The sequence below is a fragment of the Homo sapiens genome, chromosome 17 (genome assembly GCF_000001405.40).
Source record: "Homo sapiens chromosome 17, GRCh38.p14 Primary Assembly".
Taxonomy (NCBI): domain Eukaryota; kingdom Metazoa; phylum Chordata; class Mammalia; order Primates; family Hominidae; genus Homo; species Homo sapiens.
Window position 1 is genome coordinate 73,554,014 of NC_000017.11, and position 17,169 is coordinate 73,571,182.

The following is a 17,169-nucleotide window of genomic DNA, read 5'->3' on the forward strand; positions in this document are numbered from 1 at the left end:
GGCTCACAGGGAGAGGGGTTTTATGTCCTCCAGGGGGAGCTGGGACCACCTATTCCTAACCCTGGAGCAGATCCCTTGTCCTCATCAACCCATGGTCTCTGCCCCCTTTCAGGTCTTCTACTTCTTCCAGGAGGCCCCCTGATGAGGACAGGGGGCAAGTCATCCTCCCCTTTGGAAGCCCAGTGCTTTGCGCAATGCCAGGCACACAGGGGCAGCTCATCAATCCATTATGTAAAGGCACCTAGATGAAGCAGAACCACTTCCACACTGTTATGAGCCAAACTTCCTGCCCCCAAAATTCATCTGTTGAAGTCCTAAGCCACGGTACCTCAGAATGCAACTAAATTTGGAGATAGGATCTTTACAGAGGTAACTAAGGTTAAATGAAGCCATTGGGGTGGGCCCTAATCCCATGTGGCTGAAGTCCTTATAAGCAGAGGAGGTGAGGGCACAGGCTCATATGGAGGAAGAACATGTGAAGACACAGGGAGAAGATGGCCATCTACATGCCAAGGACAGAGCCTTCCCTCATGGCCCACAGAAGAAAACAACCCCCATAACACCTTGGTCTTGGACTTCTGGTCTCTAGAATTGTGAGAAAATGAATTTCCATCATTTCAGCCAGCTAGTCTGGTATTTGTTACAGCAACTGTAGGAAACTAATACACACTTCTGTGCAAATCTCTTTCCTTCCCTGGAATGCATCCTCCTCTATCTCTGCAAGTGTGAGCTCTGTATGTCAAGTCCTGGCTCAAAGTCCACCTTCTCCAGGAAGCCAGCTGTGCTGTGGAGCTCTTGGGCATCCTTTGTAGAGTATTGATTTACACTTATTTATGGGTTGTTCTGTAAATGTTACAAACCCATATTTGGGTTTTATTACAGGATCAAAACTCTGTGAGTTTCCTCCTGCCAAGACCTGAGTCTCTTCCATCTTCAGGAGCCCTCGAGGTGCTCTGAGCTCAGGCAGGGCCTTGGTGCCCAGACTGGCTGGGGACCAGGCTGGGAGGAAGGAGGATGGGGGAGCTTTGTTCTGGGTTGGCCCTCTGACAGCGCCAATCCCCATCTCCAGCCCTGGTGAACCCTAGAGCTTGCATTGTCTAGCTGCATATGCAGCCCCGAGCTGGGCTATGGGCACTTGGTCTTGCCCTGGGAGGCTATGAATTGAGCAGAGGAGAGGATGGTAACCAGAGAGAGCAGGAGTAACAGGAGTGCTGTCTATACAGATGAGCCAGCGAGGGCCTCATGGAGGGCTTGAGTCTGGAACTGGCCTTGAAGGCTGGCAGGACTTGGACTGGTTGAGGGCAGGGGGAGCTCATCTCCAGTGGGGAGAACAGCTCATGCAAAGGTGTGGCATGTGAATGGGAGTATTCCTGGCCTGGGGGAGGCGCCATTGGGAGCGGTGCACTGGACCTTGGACTCCGCGCAGCTCATCCTCGTCTCTATGTACTGAGGATGCTGAGGCCCAGGAAAGGAAGGGGCTGGCCCAAGGTTGCTCACTGTGGTCAGGCCTCTCTGCCCCTGGGCCTCAGAGGGGACTTGGAGGTCACTATTCCAGTCCCTGCCATCAGGCAAGAATGGTGGATTAGCCTGAATCCCCTATCATCTCCCTCTCTGCCTCAATGTCCCGGAGCTCAACTGGGAAGATGAGGAAGGGCCCAGGTGGGGGTAGAGGAAGTGAGGGGCTGCCAGGCGCCAAGACCACATAAGCAGCAGATGTCGGCGGATTAGCAGCTCTGCTTCCCAAAGCTGCCGGAGCCACTTAATATTCTGCAGAGGGGATCACTTCTCTTTCATAAAAAGCAAACACGGGACTGAAATGCTGCAGACTCCAAACACCTGGGGAGGTTTGGCGGCTTGAAACCTTGCTCCTGGGAAAGACACAGAGAGTCAGGGGGGACCAGGGAGTCAGCCCTCCTTGCTGGCCAGAAGCAGTGGATGGTCCCTGCAGGGAGACAGGCAGTGGATGCACAGATGGGCTTGAGCTTCTGGGGTTTCCAGGGAAAGGCAGGGGCTTTGGGAGACATGGGGGCACTGTCCATGGGGCTTGGGCTTGGGGTGGACAGTTGGCAAAGTGATGGCACTCAGTGGAAGTCACTGCCAGGAAACGACACATGCAGGGACCATTCCTCTCCCTCTTAATGACCCCAGACATCGGGAATGGAGGCACAGCCACTGAGGCAGATCACCAAGATGGGAAGCGGCAGGTTCTTTCCAAACAAACAGATCAACAGAGCAAAACAGCTAACAGCTTTAGTTAAATACAAATAATTCCAAGAAGCCAGCGGCAAGCTTTTACCTTCGGAGTTTGGGTTTTTTTTATTGTTGTTGTTGTTTAATAAAGGAAGACGACTTTCTTTGATTAGACAGAGCTCACTTTATCCAGATGGGAAAGAAATACAATGGCTCTCTCTTGGCTTCCTCCGAAGAGCCAGGTATGTCTGGGCAGCCCATCTGGGCGATGCTCACTGGACATGAGGCTGTGTATGGTCAGATGTTTATGTACCGTGACTCATTTTTGGTAGAGGCATTCACGTTTGACCTGCACATGATTCTTCTTTTAAGCACACATTTTAGGAAAAATATTTGCTGAATTCTTATGCGGCTGTTGGCATTGCTGTTATTGTATGGTTGTTACCATTTGTTCCCCTTTGGGAACCTGTTTCCGGTTTTGAAAGGACTTCAGTAGATGTTAATAACTCAGCTTGCCTGGGTGGAAGTCTAACCTGGCAGCTGTCAGCACAAATTCTGGAGCCAGACCACCTGGGTTCACATCTGAGCTCTGCCCTGTATTGCTTTTGAGGGGATTTTCTAAGCCTCAGTTTTCTCTTCTGTAAAATGGGGGTGATGATGATCATAGAAACTCTCTCACAGGGGCTTTGTGAGGATTGTGTGAGTTAAACACACAAGGAAATTAGCACCAGATTGACAGTATGGGGCTATGATTACTGAGATTGGAAACAAACCTTAGCAAATTTCATTCTTCTAAGCTAGGCAAAGGCCACGCAGCAGCTAGAAAGTGCAGACACTGGGGTTGGCCTTATGTGGGTTTGAATTCTCCAGAATATTCTGGCTGTATAAAACCGAGCAAATCAATTTCTCTGGGCTTTGGCCTCCTTATCTATACAATGGGAATAATGAGAACTCATTCCTCATAAGAAGTAAGTTTCAACTGAAGCTCATGGAATGACACAGTTCATAGCGCACGCTCAACAAATGGTGGCTGCCCCAGTGAACAAGCTCGACCTTGCCAAGGCTTACCTCAAAGGCTTTGCAGGAGCTGCTGTACCTCGAGATTTTTTTTTTTTTTTGAGACAGGGTCTTGCCTGTCGCCCAGGCTGGAGTGCAGTGGCACGATCTCGGCTCACTGCAACCTCCACCTCCTGGGTTCAAGCAATTCTCCTGCCTCAGCCTCCTGAGTAGCTGGGATTACAGGTGTGTACCACCACATCTGGCTAAGTTTTGTATTTTTATTAGAGATGGAGTTTCACCATGTTGGCCAGGCTGGTCTTGAACATCTGCCCTCAAGTGGTCTGCCTACCTCAGCTTCCCAAAGTGCTAGGATTACAGGCATGAGCCACTGTGCCCAGCCAGATAAAATATTATAATGTTTCCTTTCTTCTTCCCATCCTCCTCCTCCTCCTCTCTCTCTCTTTCTCTCTTACTTTCTTTCCCTGCCTCCTAATCTCCCTCTTTTCTTTCCTTCCTTGTTTTTGGGTTGGAGGTCCTCTTTCAATAGAGGGTAGAGAGAACCCAAAGTGTCAAAGCCCTGCCATTCTAATTTCCTTTCCCATTAACAGGAGTTCCTTAAACTCTGTGAGTCCAGATTTCCTGCCCTCAGTAAGGTCTGCCTGCAGCCTCTACCAGGTAGTGATACGATGGGCACCTCTGGACTCAGCAGTAGAAATGGCAGCCAGTGGCATTGACCTGGATTCACTCATCCTCTCTCTCAGCCTCTCCCCAGGGCTCCCTGGACAACCAAGTCCAGCTCTCTTGTTCTAGGACCCTCCTCACCCTGTTGCTCTATCCCCCTTTGTCCTGCCCCATCCCCAACACCATGGGCTGGGTGCCCTGGGGGCACTTAGCAGCCCGAGCTGCCACCTGGGAGTGAAGCGCCTTCTGCTGAGGCAGGAGGGGTGCAGGTCTGCTGTAAAGGGGCAGCCCCAAAGTTCTGCCAGTAGATTGATGGGGAGTAAAGACTCTGACCCCACAGCCTCACTGAGCACATGTCAGAGGGGCTGGCAAATCTGAAAAGATGTGGCTGTGACTAGCTCTGCCTAGGGTTCTGCCAGATTTCCTGTGGAACCTTCCAGAATTTCTCCATTAATGACAACGACCATGCCCAGGTAGAGATGGAAAGAGACTCGGATGCCTTATTCTGAAATTAACTTCAGTTAGGAAGGAAGGGAAGGAGGGAGGGAGGAAGGGAGGGAGGGGAGAGGGAGGAAGAAAGGAAGGAAGGGAGGAAGGGAGGGAGGAACAGAATAATATTCAAGCACTTTTTCATGGCACTTTAAAATGTTCAAGCACTTTTGCATTGACTGTATCTCCTTTTATCATCCAGCCTGTGAAGTTCACAGCTCAGCATTATTAGGCAGTGGACTATGGAGGACCCACACACAGCCAGGTTCAAATCCAGCTTCATTAGACAGATGAAGAAACCAAGGCCCAATGAGATGGAGTGCCTTTCCCACCTCACATGGGAAGTCAGTGCCCAAGTTAACAGAACTTCAGGGCCCCCGCACCAAGCCATGTGTCTCTCCTACAAGATCCTGGAGGATGGGCTCTCAAATGGGGTCTCAACCCTCCCCCTAGATAGGAGCTCTTTGCCTGGCTTCTGGAACTGTGGGCCACCAGTCCCTACAGAATGAGAGGTACTCTCACTCACTGCAGTAGCGGCCTGGAGAGAAAACGCCTGCCTCCCTGGCTCTGTCTGCAGCCTGGCTCCCAGGACGTGGCCTCATTTCAAAGACTAAAAAGGTAGCTGAGAAACAAACGAAAGTTAGCTGAGATGGGAAAACCACCCATGGGAAGGAAAGAATGCACCATCTCCTCCCCTTTTCTCTCTTCTCTATGGGGAGAAAGAAAAACCTAAATACTGATTTCAACTGGACTCTCCTGCCTGCACCGGGGCCCCACAAGCAACACCCAGATCCTGAAAGTATTTGTTCCAGTCAATGGGGCAGAGTGACCCACGAAGGACAGAGCATGCCTGCCGAGTTCACACACTTCCTGCCTGCCTCTGGGAAAACTATTTAACCTCTCTGAGCCTTGGGTTTCCTCGCTGGTAAAGTAGAGATGGTGGCGATACATGTGCCATGGAGTGGCAATGAGGATGAAATGGGACAATGTACGCAAGACTGTTGGCAAGAAGCAAGGAGTTGATAAATGGAATAGACGATATAACAATTACATTGTAATGTGTATTATAATTCTTTTTGCGGGCTCTTGAGAATGAGAACTCTCTGCCAACGTGGAGAATGAGAGGGGCAGATGGGAAGAACACTGAGATAAGAGCAGTAAGTCTTGAGCAGGATGGTGTGGGGGCAAGCTCTGTCCATCCGCCACTCCCCACTCCGCTCCCTGTGCCCCCCGCCCCCGCCACCATACCACACATGTCACCATACTGTGGCTGCTCTCCAGCCTCCGAAGGGCCACCCCACAGGCAGGTCTGCAGCCTGAACAGGATGGGACAGGTAAGGTTGGCCCCTCCCCCTTTCTTTTCTTCCCTACCTCCCTGTCCTGCTAGAGACAAGTGCCCCTAATGCCTGTGCTCCCGAATCATAATGCCACAAAAACCTTGCTGAGATAGGATGAGAGAAAGAGAGGGTCTGAGACAACTCAAAGCCTTTAGTCCCTGGCCTGATCCCCCCAGGGCTGGGCACCAGCTGGTTGTCTTGGCCTCACTAAGCATTTCCTCTGTATCTTTAGCTTGCTGGGCTCAGTGGCAGTCACCCCTGGGAGGGATGGCATGAAGGGCTGGGGGTTCCTCTGGGCCATCACACCACGGGAAGCGGGTCTATGGCCCCAAGGGTCCTGCCTTGGCCCTACTGAGACCAGGCAGTGAACTATGGAGGACCCGCACACAGAGCCAGGTTCAAATCCAGCTAAGGGCAAACTGCCTAAGCTCTTACAGCCTCAGTTTCCTCACTAAAAGGATGCAGTCACTCCTAGTGCCACCACCAAAAACCACAATAAATGACAGACAAGGTGTTGTTAGAAAGACTGAATAACCAGAAATGTTCATGGAAATGACAGCTGGGCTGCAGGGCTGGAGCTGGGCTGGAGGCTGCTCTGCACCCGACCGTGCCTCGCATTAACCCTTTATTGTTTTTGTTTGTTTGTTTTTGAGACGGAGCCTTGCTCTGTCGCCCAGGCTGGAGTGTAGTGGTGCATCTTGGCTTACTGCAACCTCCACCTCCCAGATTCAAGCAATTCTCTGTCTCAGCCTCCTGAGTAGCTGGGACTACAGGCGTGCGCCACCATGCGCGTCTAATTTTTGTATTTTTAGTAGAGACGGTGTTTCACCATGTTGGCCAGGCTGGTCTCGAACTCCTGACCTCAAGTGATCCGCCTGCCTCGGCCTCCCAAAGTGCTGGGATTACAGGCATGAGCCACCTCGCCTGGCCTCATTAACCCTTCAGGTGTGGAACATGGAACATTTCAGAGATGTCAGGACAGCAGCTGTTTACCAGCTGTGTAAATACAGAACTTCAAAATCCAAGCACCCGCATGTTGGTGGGGAGTCCTGGGGACCACACACCCTGCTTACAGGGCTACTGTGAGGGTTGGTCAGATCATGGAGCCACTGGTGCCCACCCCCTCCCGATCCTGATTCAGGAGCACACAGGCTCCTCGACCAGTGGGTGGCGTCTGGGCCAGCAAGGACTTGTGGCAGGAGACAGGATCCTCTTTGAGGTCAGGAAGCGGGGCGTGTGGGGTGTGCCACTGGGCCAGGCATGTCCCTGCTCATCCCACCCAGACCAGGCACAGCAAAATCAGGACCCCCTCCTCACCCCACTACCCACAGGTACAGGAAAGAGGAGAGACCCAGCCTCGCTCCTGGTCACTCTGCCCAAGCTTTTGGGGACCTGGCCAGTGCTCCACCCCAGACTCCACAACTTGGCATTTCTAGCTGTGCCCGAGATGGGGCCAAGGGAGGGGCCAAGCGAGCTATTTTGGGTCTGGAAAGAGCTGTGGTGGGTGTGAAAGGGAGACAATTACGGGGTTGGTAGGGCCGATGCCTTCCACCCACACCACCCACCCCACCTGCGGTCAGCCCTCAGCCTGGCCTCAGCACAGATGATGACGAGACCTAGGGGGAAGTGGGAGGTAGAGAGGAAAGTCTCCAAAAGGGGCTAGGGTAGGGAGAGAAGACGTCAGCACAGGGCCACCTGGGAGGACCCCAAATGGTGACGTGGCTGCAGAGTTGTGGCCAAGAAGCCATGGTTCTCTGGGCTGCCATGGAGAAGGAGCAGTCAGCCGCCTTCTTCAGGCCATACTGTGTGGTTGTTGTCCTGGGCTCTAGGAGACATGACACAGGGTCATTTTGGGGGCACTGGGGATCACTATGTCATGGGCCATCTTCCTGTACGTGGCTGAGGTCTGGCCTCTGGTGGCCTCCAATGGCTACACGCCTAGGCCAGGAACAAGTAGAGTGGCCTTAGAGTGGGGAGCACTGTGCAGACTCCTGTACGGCCTCCCCTGAATTGAGTCTCTGCTCTCAAGGACTCTGTTCCAGGGCTGGATGAAGGGAGCCGAATGAGGGACTGTGTGCAACATATAAAGGAGGGGCTATCAAAAATCCTAGTCATCAAGATAAATAACATTGTAGGCCAAGTGCAGTGGCTCACGCCTGTAATCCCAGCACTTTGGGGGGCTGAGGCGGGTGGATCACCTGAGGTCAGGAGTTCGAGACCAGCCTGATCAACATGGTGAAACTCCGTCTCTACTAAAAATACAAAAATTAGCTGGGCGTGGTGGTGTGCGCCTGTAATCCCAGCTGCTTGGGAGGCTAAGGCAGGAGAATTGCTTGAACCCGGGAGGCAGAGGTTGCAGTGAGCCGAGATCTTGCCACTGCACTCCAACCTGGGCGACAGAGCGAAACTCCGTCTCAAAAAAAAGACAAATAACATCTTAATATAATATTTCAAAGGATCCAAGTCAAAGCAAAAAATTTAATATGAACACCACCAAAATGTTACAAAAAGACACGCTCCAACGGGGCTGCAACAGCCTCCAAGGTACCAGGATGGTTCCCATCTTTATCGGACGTTTTGATATTTTGTTCCTTGTGGAATTTTTGCATTAATTTGCATTTTAAAAATATTACATTCAAATATCATTTGTTTAATTACTGAATTTTGGGAGCACCCCCCTAAGATTTTGGGCTTGGTCTTGTATCTGTTCTCTTTTTAGATCCAATTAACTTGCCTGTTCCTCCCACCTCCCTCCAGAAGTTAGGCCAGGTGAAAACACAAGAGAACAACAGCCACGTGGAATCTGGGGGAACATGAGGCCAGGCACTTCTCAAAGAAGAGAGAGAGACAGGAGAGGCGGGGAGAAGAAGGCAGGCGTGGGAGGGGGTTGGGAGGTGGTTCTGAGTGTCTGTCCAGGCTGCCGGACAAGGATGAGGATGGGGAGATGAGGATGAGACCTGGGGCTGGGACTGTCAGAAAGAGTGGGGAAAAGGGAGAGAGAAGCAGAGCACAGAGAAAGAAGTAAGAAAGAAAAATTACCAGCAAGGCATTCTGTGCGGAAGGCGCCACGGGCTGCTGGAAATGCCACGTCTGCGTTTTGTAAGCTTTACTAAGACGTGCTAACTCATTTCATCCTGGCAGCAGCCGCACGAGGCAGGTTATACCTCTTTTCCCATTTGATGATGGGTAAATTGAGGCACGCAGAAGCACCAAGGCTGTAGGGCTGTGCTGAAGCTGGAATACCAGCCCAGGCAGTCTGACTCGGACCTGGGCACTTGAAGCCATTTCTGGAAGGGAGGAGGAAGGCAGGGGAGGGGAAGGACAGCTCCGCTCTGATACCGCCTCACTGCCTGCCGCCCCACCCTGGTCCTCGGGCCATTGCTGGCGAGGAGGCTTGGACAGGCACGCACCATGGAGGAGACTCATGGCCTCTGGCAAGGCTGGGATAAGATGAAGTGAGTCACTGTCAACTTCTCTTCGAACCAGAAATATCCTCCCCCAGAAGTATCAGGCAAATCTAATTTTTATAAATCACATTATAGCTCAAATATCTTAGGGAATTCACAACTTATAAACATTTCTGGCTGGGTGCAGTGACTTACACCTGTCATCCCAACACTTTGGGAGGCGGGGGCAGGAGAATCGCTTGAGGCCAAGAGTTCAAGGCCAGCCTGGGCAACACAGTGAGACCCCACCTCTACAAAAAATAAGATAAAAAATTAGCTGGGTGCGGTGGCACACGGCTGTAGTCCCAGCTGCTCAGAAGGCTGAATGTGGGAGGATTGCACGAGCCCAGGAGTTTGAGGCTGCAGTGAGCTATGAACAGGCCACTGCCCTCCAGTTTGGAAGACAGAATGAGACTCTGTCTCTTAAAAAAAAATCTTTGTGCCCTTTTGTAATCATTCTCTAATATATCTATCTCTGAGTTTGATATTCATTGAGCAACTTTGTAGTACAACAGTGCTCTGAAAGGGTCAATTTTAGGTATACATATTTTGGGGGCAGGGTTGAGATGAGTGAAATCCCATTTCAAATGGCCTAGGTGAGTCTTCTTTTTTCTCTCACTGATTTTTTTTTTTTTGAGACAGGGTCTCCCTCTGTCATCCAGGCTGGAGTGCGATGGCACCATCATGGCTTACTGCAGCCTTAACGTTCCCAACTCAAGTCATCCTCCCTCCTTAGCCTCCCGAGTAGCATGTGCCACCACGCTCAGCTAATTTTTTATATTTTTTGTAGAGACACGGCTTTGCCATGTTGCCCAGGCTGGCCTCAAACTCCTAGGCTCAAGCGATCCACCCACCTTGTTTCACACACCCGGCCTCCCAAAGTGCTGGAACTACAGGTATGAGCCGCTGTGCCCAGCCCCCAGTAAATCTTTTTGAAAACTTCTTTTGTATTCACCTTGCTTTACGTTTTTCTGTAAATTCACACTTCAATTTCTTGGATTTACTTAGAGCTGTTCGATACGGTAACCAATAGCCACATATAGCTATTTAAGTTAATTAAAATTAAATAAAATTAAAAATTCAGTTTCTCAGTAGCACTGGCCACATATGGCTAGTGACTACCATGTTGGGCAGCACAGACAACAGAATACTTCTATCACTACAGAAAGTTCTACTGGACACTACTGGCTTAGAGTATAAAGTCCACTTGAGTCCATTTCTGCTTAAAGTGAGGCAGGTGTGTATTCTCTCCTGCATCTGAGCCCCTGGGCTGTGTCGTCATCTGAACAACTGATTTAACTAATTCCACTGGATGTACGTGTGACCCAGAGAGGTGCCTGGTGTCCTGCCCTGCTCCCTCCCCATGACATTAAAACGAAACAGCTGGGGCTGGGCATGGTGGCTCACGCCTGTAATCCCAGCACTTTGGGAGGTCGAGACAGGTGGATCACTTGAGGCCAGGAGTTTGAGACCAGCCTGGCCAACAGGGTGAAACTCTGTCTCTACTAAAAATACAAAAATTAGCTGGGCATGGTGGCGTATACCTGCAGTCCCATCTACTCGGGAGGCTGAGGCAGGAGGATCGCTTGAACCTGGGAGGCGGAGGTTGCAGTGGGCCGAGATCGCGCCACTGCACTCCAGCTTGGGGGACAGAGAGAGACTCTGTCTGAAAAAAAAACAAAAAACAAAAACAAACCCAAAACAAAAGACTAAACAGCTGGGCTTTGGGCATCTGGTAAGGGTGGAGTGGCTGCTGTTAGTTAGGTCAACCCTTTCCCCAGATAGCAATAAACAACTGCCTGAGGCATTGGAGAACAACCAAAAGCAGGCTGACACTAGAGGGAAGTCAATGTTTAGAAGATAGAAATGGCACTGGGTGAACTTCCCATATTTATGGGTATTTGTTTGAGGTCAGGCTCTAGCTCCTGCCAAGTGGGGTGGCTAAATCCAGATAGAAAATCCAGTCTTACTGGCTTAAACAACTAGAGGACAGAGTTTGCGGCAACCGCAGCAGTTGGAAGTTGAGGGCAGGAATCCCAGAAGGAGGAGAGCCAGAGGGAGGAGACCTGAATTCTGTATATAAATTCTACCCAAACCTTAGGCTGATCTCTGAAATATGTACACATGGGGCCAATCCCAAGCAGCCCAGCAAAGGCTAGAGGGACTGAACAGAGATTTCTGCTACTGTCAACCACAGGGGAGAGCAAGTTTGGAGTTTGAGTGCAGGGAAGTTACCTGTTTGCTAAAAAACATGTAATTCATGACATCTAGGATACATTCCAAAATTCCTAGGCACATGAAGAAACAGGAAAATGTGATCCCTACACAATAGAAAAGGCAATCAATACAGATTGTTTTAAAACAGCTATTATAACTATCCTCAAGGACATAAAGAAAAATGTGGTCATAATGAATGAACAAATAGAAAATCTTAGTAGGAAAATAAAAAGCATAAAAAGAACCACATAAAAATTCTAGATCTCTAATATGGTTCAGGTATTTATCCCCTCCAAATCTCATGTGGAAATGCGATCTCCAGTGTTAGAGGTGCAGTCTAGCGGGTGGTGTTTGGGTAAGGGGGTTCCCCCATGAACGGCTTGGTGCCCTTCCCATGGTAGTGAGCTCTCGTTCTGTTAGAGAGCTAGTTGTTTTTTCTTTTTTTGGTTTGTTTGTTTGTTTGTTTTTTTGAGATGGAGTCTGGCCCTGTCGCCAGGCTGTAGTGCAATAGCGCAATCTCAGCTCACTGCAAGCTCCGCCTCCCAGGTTCAAGCGATTCTCCTGCCTCAGCCTCCTGAGTAGCTGGGACTACGGGCGCATGCCACCACACCCAGCTAATTTTTGTATTTTTAGTAGAGACGGGTTTCACCATGTTGGCCAGGATGGTCTCAATCTCCTGACCTCATGATCCACCCACCTTGGCCTCCCAAAGTCCTGGGATTACAGGCGTGAGGCACTGCCCCCAGCCAAGAGCTGGTTGTTTAAAAGAGCCTGGCACCTCCTGCCTTCTAACTTGCTTCTTCTTTCTCCATCTGACACATCTGCTCTCCCCTTCAACTTCTGGCATGAGTGGAAGCTTCCTGAGGCCTCACCAGAAACAGGTGCCAACACTATGCTTCTTGTACAGCCTCCAGAACTATAAGCCAAATAAAATTCTTATATATATATGTGTGTGTGTGTGTGTGTGTGTGTGTGTGTGTGTGTTACCCAGTCTCAGGTATTCCTTTACAGCAATGCAAACAGACAAGTACAGAAAACTGGTACTGAGAGTGGAGTGTTGCTATAAAGATACTTGAAAATGTTGAAACAGCTTTGAAATTAGGTAATGAACAAAGGTTGAAAGAGTTTGGTGGGTTCAAAAATAGACAAAAACATGACATAAAGTTTAGAACTTCTTAGCGACTAGTTAAATGGTTGTAACCAAAGTCCTGATAGAAATATAGATAGCAAAGCCCAGGCTGATGAGGTTTCAGAGGAAAACAAACACTTATTAAAAACTGGAGTGAAGATCACCCTGGTTATGCCTTAATAAAAATCTGGGCTACACTGTGTCTATGGCTTAGGGCTTTATGAGAGACACCACTTACAAGTAATAACCCAAGATATCTGGCAAAAGAAATTTCTAAACGACAAAGCACTCAAAATGTGGCCTGGGTGCTTCTAACTTCCTACGACTAGATATGAGAACAAAAAAACGACTTAAATTTAACACTTATAATTAAAAAAAAAAAAAAAGCAGAGTGTAAAAACTTAGAAAATTTCCAGCTTGGCCATGAGGTAGAGAACAAAAGTGCCTTTCCAGTGAGAAACCCAAGGCACTTGTAAGATAACCTCCTGCTAGATAAATTTACATGACTAAACGGGAGTCAAGCACGAATAACAAAGACACTGGAAAAAAAAAGACCTGGAAGACATTTGGAAGGTCTTTGGGGAAAATCCCTTCCATGACAGGCCCAGAGGCCTAAAAAATGGTTTTAGGGGCCAGGCCTGGATCCCTGCTGCCCTCTGCGGCCCCAGGAGGCTGCTCCCTGCATCCCTGGCTGCTTCAGCTCCAGCCAGGGCTCAAAGAACCCCAGGTACCATTCAGGGCTCCACTTCAGAGGGCATACGCCATAAGACTTGGCAGCTTCCACATGGTGAAGCCTGCAGGCACACAGAATACAAAAGTGAAAGAGGCTTGGCAGCTTCCTCCTAGATTTCAGAAGATGTATTAAAAAACTTGGGTGCCCAGACAAGGCCTGCCACGGGGCGGAGCCCCCACAGAAGGCCTCTGCTAGGGCAGTGTCAAGCAAAAACGTGGGGTTGAAGCTCCCACAGGGTCCTCACCGGGACACTGCCTGGTGAAGCTGTGGAAATGGGGCTACCAGCCTCCAGACCTCAGCGTGGTACAGCCACCAACAGCTTACAACCTCAACATGAACAGGCACCAGACTCCAACCCGTTAAAAACAGCCAGGGGGGCTGTGCCTTACAAAGCCAGAGGGGTGGAGCTGCCCAGGCCTTGGGAGCCCAACCCTCACACCAGTGTGCCCAGGATGTGGGACATGGAGTCAAGAGAGATTATTTCAGAGCTTTAAGGTTTAACACCTGCCCTGCTGGGTTTCGGACTTGGGTAGGGTCTGTCATTTCTTTCTTTTGGTTGATTTCTCCCTTTTGAAATGAAAATGTTTACCTCATGCCTGTACCACCATTGTATCTTGAAAGTAAATCACTTGGTTTTGCTTTTACACATTCATAAATTTAAAACAACTTGCCTTGAGTCTCAAATGAGACTTTAAACTTTTTGAGTTGATACTCAAATGAGTTTAGACTTTCAAGGACTATTGGAAAAAAATGATTATATTTTACAATGTAAAAATGACATGAAATTTAGGAGGCCAGGAGTGGAATGATATGGTTTGGATATGTGTCCCCTCCAAATCTCATGTGGAAACCGGATCCTAAATGTTAGAAATGGGGCCTGGGGGAGATGTTTGTGTTGGGAGGCAGATCCCTTGGTGCCCTTCCCACGGTAATGGGTGAATTCTCGCTCTGTTAGTTCACAAGAGAGCTGGTTGTTTAAAGGAGGCTGGCACCTTCTCCCCCTCTCTCTTGCACCCTCTATCTCTCTTTTTCTCTATGTGACACAACTGCTCCCTCTTTTCTTTCTGCCAGTGAGTGGAAGCTTCTTGAGCCCCTCGCTAGAAAGATGCTAGTGCCATGCTTCCTGTACAGCCTATAGAACCGTGAGCCAAATACACGTCTCTTCTTTATACATTATCCAGCCTCAGGTATTCCTTTATAACAATGCAAAATGGACTAATACAAGCTGAATACAAGATCTGAAATTAAAAATTTATTGGATAGATTTAACAGCAGATTGATGAGAACAGAAGAGTCAATGAATGTGAAAATAGATCAATAAAAAATACCCACCCTGAAGAACCAGCAGAAAAGAAGACTTTAAAAAAAGCCCAGAGCCTCAGACTGGAGATGAAGGTCTAACATATATTATACATGAAGTCTAGGAAGAGTCAGGAGTGAATGAATGCATAAAAAGTAGTTAAAGGAATAAGGGCTGAAAATTCCCCAAATTTGGAGAAAGACAAATTGAAGATTCAAGAGGCTCAATGAACCCCAAGCAGGATAAATACAAGGAGAAGAGTCGTTAAACAGGCGACTGCAGAAGGAAGGAACATGCTTTATCTTCAAACCGCTGGACAGCAGGGCCCACCTCTCTGCAGGCTTCATGTACTTTTGTGATACATCACATGACAATATTGCCATCGTCTCCCTAAAAAGTGCACACAGGGGGCAAAGGTTGAAAAAGCACCTATTATGTGCTAATGGCCTTTGTGTATATTTTCTTAATTTACACTCATAGTAACCACAAGAACCAGGAACTGCTGTCTCCAAGTTGTTTTATTATTAATTTTTTAAAAACCAAAATCAGCACTAAGGCTCAGAGATGTTGAGTAACTCACCTAAGATCACACAGCTAGTAGTAAGAGATAGAGCTGGGGTTGAAAGCCTAGTTCCAAAGCCCATGTTCTTTCTTTCTTTCTTTTCTTTTTTTTTTTTTTTTGAGATGGAGTCTCACTCTGTCGCCCAGGCTGGAGGGCAATGGCGTCATCTCAGCTCATTGCAACCTCCGCCTCCCAGGTTCAAGTGATTCTCCTGCCTCAGCCTCCTGAGTAGCTGGGATTACGGGCGCACGCCACCACACCCAGCTAATTTTTGTATTTTTAGTAGAGACGGGGTTTCACCTTGTTGGCTGGGCTGGTCTCAAACTCCTGACCTTAGGTGATCTGCCCACCTGGGCCTCCCAAAGTGCTGGGATTACAGGCGTGAGGCACCGTGCTGGGCCCCATGTTATTTTGTATTCGTGCCTATTAACCCTTGCAGCACATTGGAATCACGTGGTGAGGGATGGGGGTGGGGATTGCTTTCAAAAGCAATCCCCACCCCCAACGAATTAAATCAGAATTAGTCAGGGCTGCATCCAGGCATTGGAATTTTTTTTTTTCAGCCCCTCTGTGTGATTTTAAGGTCTGATGTGGATTGAAAGTCACTGTTGTACACTATGCTGCACTCTGGGAAAGATCAGACGAGAAAAGAAAACTGGGTCAATCCCACTCACATTGGTAGATGGGCGATGAGAACCCCCGCAAAGGTCCTCAGAACGGAGCTCCGAGCCTTGATCTGTAAGCCTGTACCCTTCCTTCCTTGTCTTTTCCTGATCTCTAGGAGCTACACGGCTGTCACCACTCTCAGGTCCAGAAGATATGGGGGTGATAAAAGCGGCCGAGGAGCCTCTCTGCAGCAGGTCCTGAGTTACGGGAGGCTGCAGCCATGGACACGGGACACTTACTCTGGGTGAAGGATGAGGAGCAGGACCTCAGCGCTCTAACTCTTTCAGGCTTCGGCTGGGGAAGGAAGAGAGTCAGGCGGCCCCATGACTCTCCCCAGAGCCCCTCGGGACGGCCCCCCAGAGCCCCTCTTGGGGAGAGACTGGGACTGCTGAGCTTGGTGGACACAGGGCGACCACCCCAGGGGCCCAGCCTTGCTACCTCCCCTCCCTGTTTACACCCCTGCCTCCTAAGCACAGCCCGGCCTCAACATGCATCTCCTACCACCCCATAGGAGTGGTAGACCCCGTCTACACCGGGTCCAGAAACCACACAACCCATAGGTTCTGTGAGCTCCTGGCTCTGTTTTCTCAAATCGCAGCAGAGCATATGCTCAATAAAGAGCCTCCAGGTGCATGTGAGGGTGGGTGAGGTGGCTCCCACTGCTGGCTGGGTGAGCAGTTGGTGCCGCTTTGCCATTTGCCACTAGATTAGCCCAAAAATCAAAAAGAGGGGGACCCACCCAGCACCCCTCTTGTGATGATGGCGGTGATGGTGATGGTGAGGCTGATGGTGGTGATGTTGCCACCTTCCACTGAGCGCTGACTACCCGTGAGGCACTGAACACCACCATCAGCTCACCGCCATCTCGCAGCCACCCACAAAGGGCACTGCTTTAGCTCTGTTTTACAGATGGGAAGGCTGAGGCTCAGAGAAGATCAAGTCCTTGCCCGTGGCAGAACTCATATCAAAGCCAGGTCAGTCTCTAACACCGGAGCCCTTTGGAGGGGCCCTCTTCTACCCATTCCTGTGTTCTTCCTGCCCCTCACTGGACTGAACTGAGTTTAGCCCGAAATGCTCCTCCCAGGCCTGCAGGGACATGGCTGACCTCACATGCTCTGTGCCCCCTTTAGGGTCTCTGCTCCCCTATTCCTCCTCAGCCCACAGCCTGGGGTCAAGGGTGACTATTGTGAGCCCTGGTCTGGTCCTGAGTGGCTGCTGGGACCTTCCCAATGCCTGGGTGAAACTCCAGAGAACGAACTCTGGGCCAGCAGGAGTTTGCTGGGAAGTGGCTGCAGGAGGTGGCTCGGGTTTTTTTTTTTTGAGATGGAGTCTTGATCTGTCACTGAGGCTGGAAGGAGTGCAGTGGTGCGATCTCGGCTCACTGTAATCTCCGCCTCCCAGGTTCAAGCGATTCTCCAGC

General features: G+C 49.8%; 1 protein-coding gene across 5 annotated transcripts in view, besides 6 other annotated features; it reads right to left on the minus strand.

The window, feature by feature from the left end:
• Positions 1-17,169, minus strand: part of SDK2 (sidekick cell adhesion molecule 2) — a 310,062-nt gene that overhangs the window by 219,630 nt on the left and 73,263 nt on the right. The gene's annotated exons all lie outside the window — the stretch shown is intronic.
• Positions 6,253-6,858: an enhancer, noted in NCBI's record as "H3K27ac-H3K4me1 hESC enhancer chr17:71556405-71557010 (GRCh37/hg19 assembly coordinates)". NCBI's record gives its function as "activates a minimal SCP1, AML or CMV promoter by ChIP-STARR-seq in naive H9 embryonic stem cells {active_cell/tissue: H9 hESC(naive)}" and the evidence as "EXISTENCE:reporter gene assay evidence [ECO:0000049][PMID:30033119]".
• Positions 6,859-7,465: an enhancer, noted in NCBI's record as "H3K27ac-H3K4me1 hESC enhancer chr17:71557011-71557617 (GRCh37/hg19 assembly coordinates)". NCBI's record gives its function as "activates a minimal SCP1, AML or CMV promoter by ChIP-STARR-seq in naive H9 embryonic stem cells {active_cell/tissue: H9 hESC(naive)}" and the evidence as "EXISTENCE:reporter gene assay evidence [ECO:0000049][PMID:30033119]".
• Positions 10,152-10,652: an enhancer, noted in NCBI's record as "H3K4me1 hESC enhancer chr17:71560304-71560804 (GRCh37/hg19 assembly coordinates)". NCBI's record gives its function as "activates a minimal SCP1, AML or CMV promoter by ChIP-STARR-seq in primed H9 embryonic stem cells {active_cell/tissue: H9 hESC(primed)}" and the evidence as "EXISTENCE:reporter gene assay evidence [ECO:0000049][PMID:30033119]".
• Positions 11,628-12,218: an enhancer, noted in NCBI's record as "H3K27ac hESC enhancer chr17:71561780-71562370 (GRCh37/hg19 assembly coordinates)". NCBI's record gives its function as "activates a minimal SCP1, AML or CMV promoter by ChIP-STARR-seq in primed H9 embryonic stem cells {active_cell/tissue: H9 hESC(primed)}" and the evidence as "EXISTENCE:reporter gene assay evidence [ECO:0000049][PMID:30033119]".
• Positions 12,219-12,808: an enhancer, noted in NCBI's record as "OCT4-NANOG-H3K27ac hESC enhancer chr17:71562371-71562960 (GRCh37/hg19 assembly coordinates)". NCBI's record gives its function as "activates a minimal SCP1, AML or CMV promoter by ChIP-STARR-seq in primed H9 embryonic stem cells {active_cell/tissue: H9 hESC(primed)}" and the evidence as "EXISTENCE:reporter gene assay evidence [ECO:0000049][PMID:30033119]".
• Positions 13,399-13,987: an enhancer, noted in NCBI's record as "NANOG-H3K27ac-H3K4me1 hESC enhancer chr17:71563551-71564139 (GRCh37/hg19 assembly coordinates)". NCBI's record gives its function as "activates a minimal SCP1, AML or CMV promoter by ChIP-STARR-seq in primed H9 embryonic stem cells {active_cell/tissue: H9 hESC(primed)}" and the evidence as "EXISTENCE:reporter gene assay evidence [ECO:0000049][PMID:30033119]".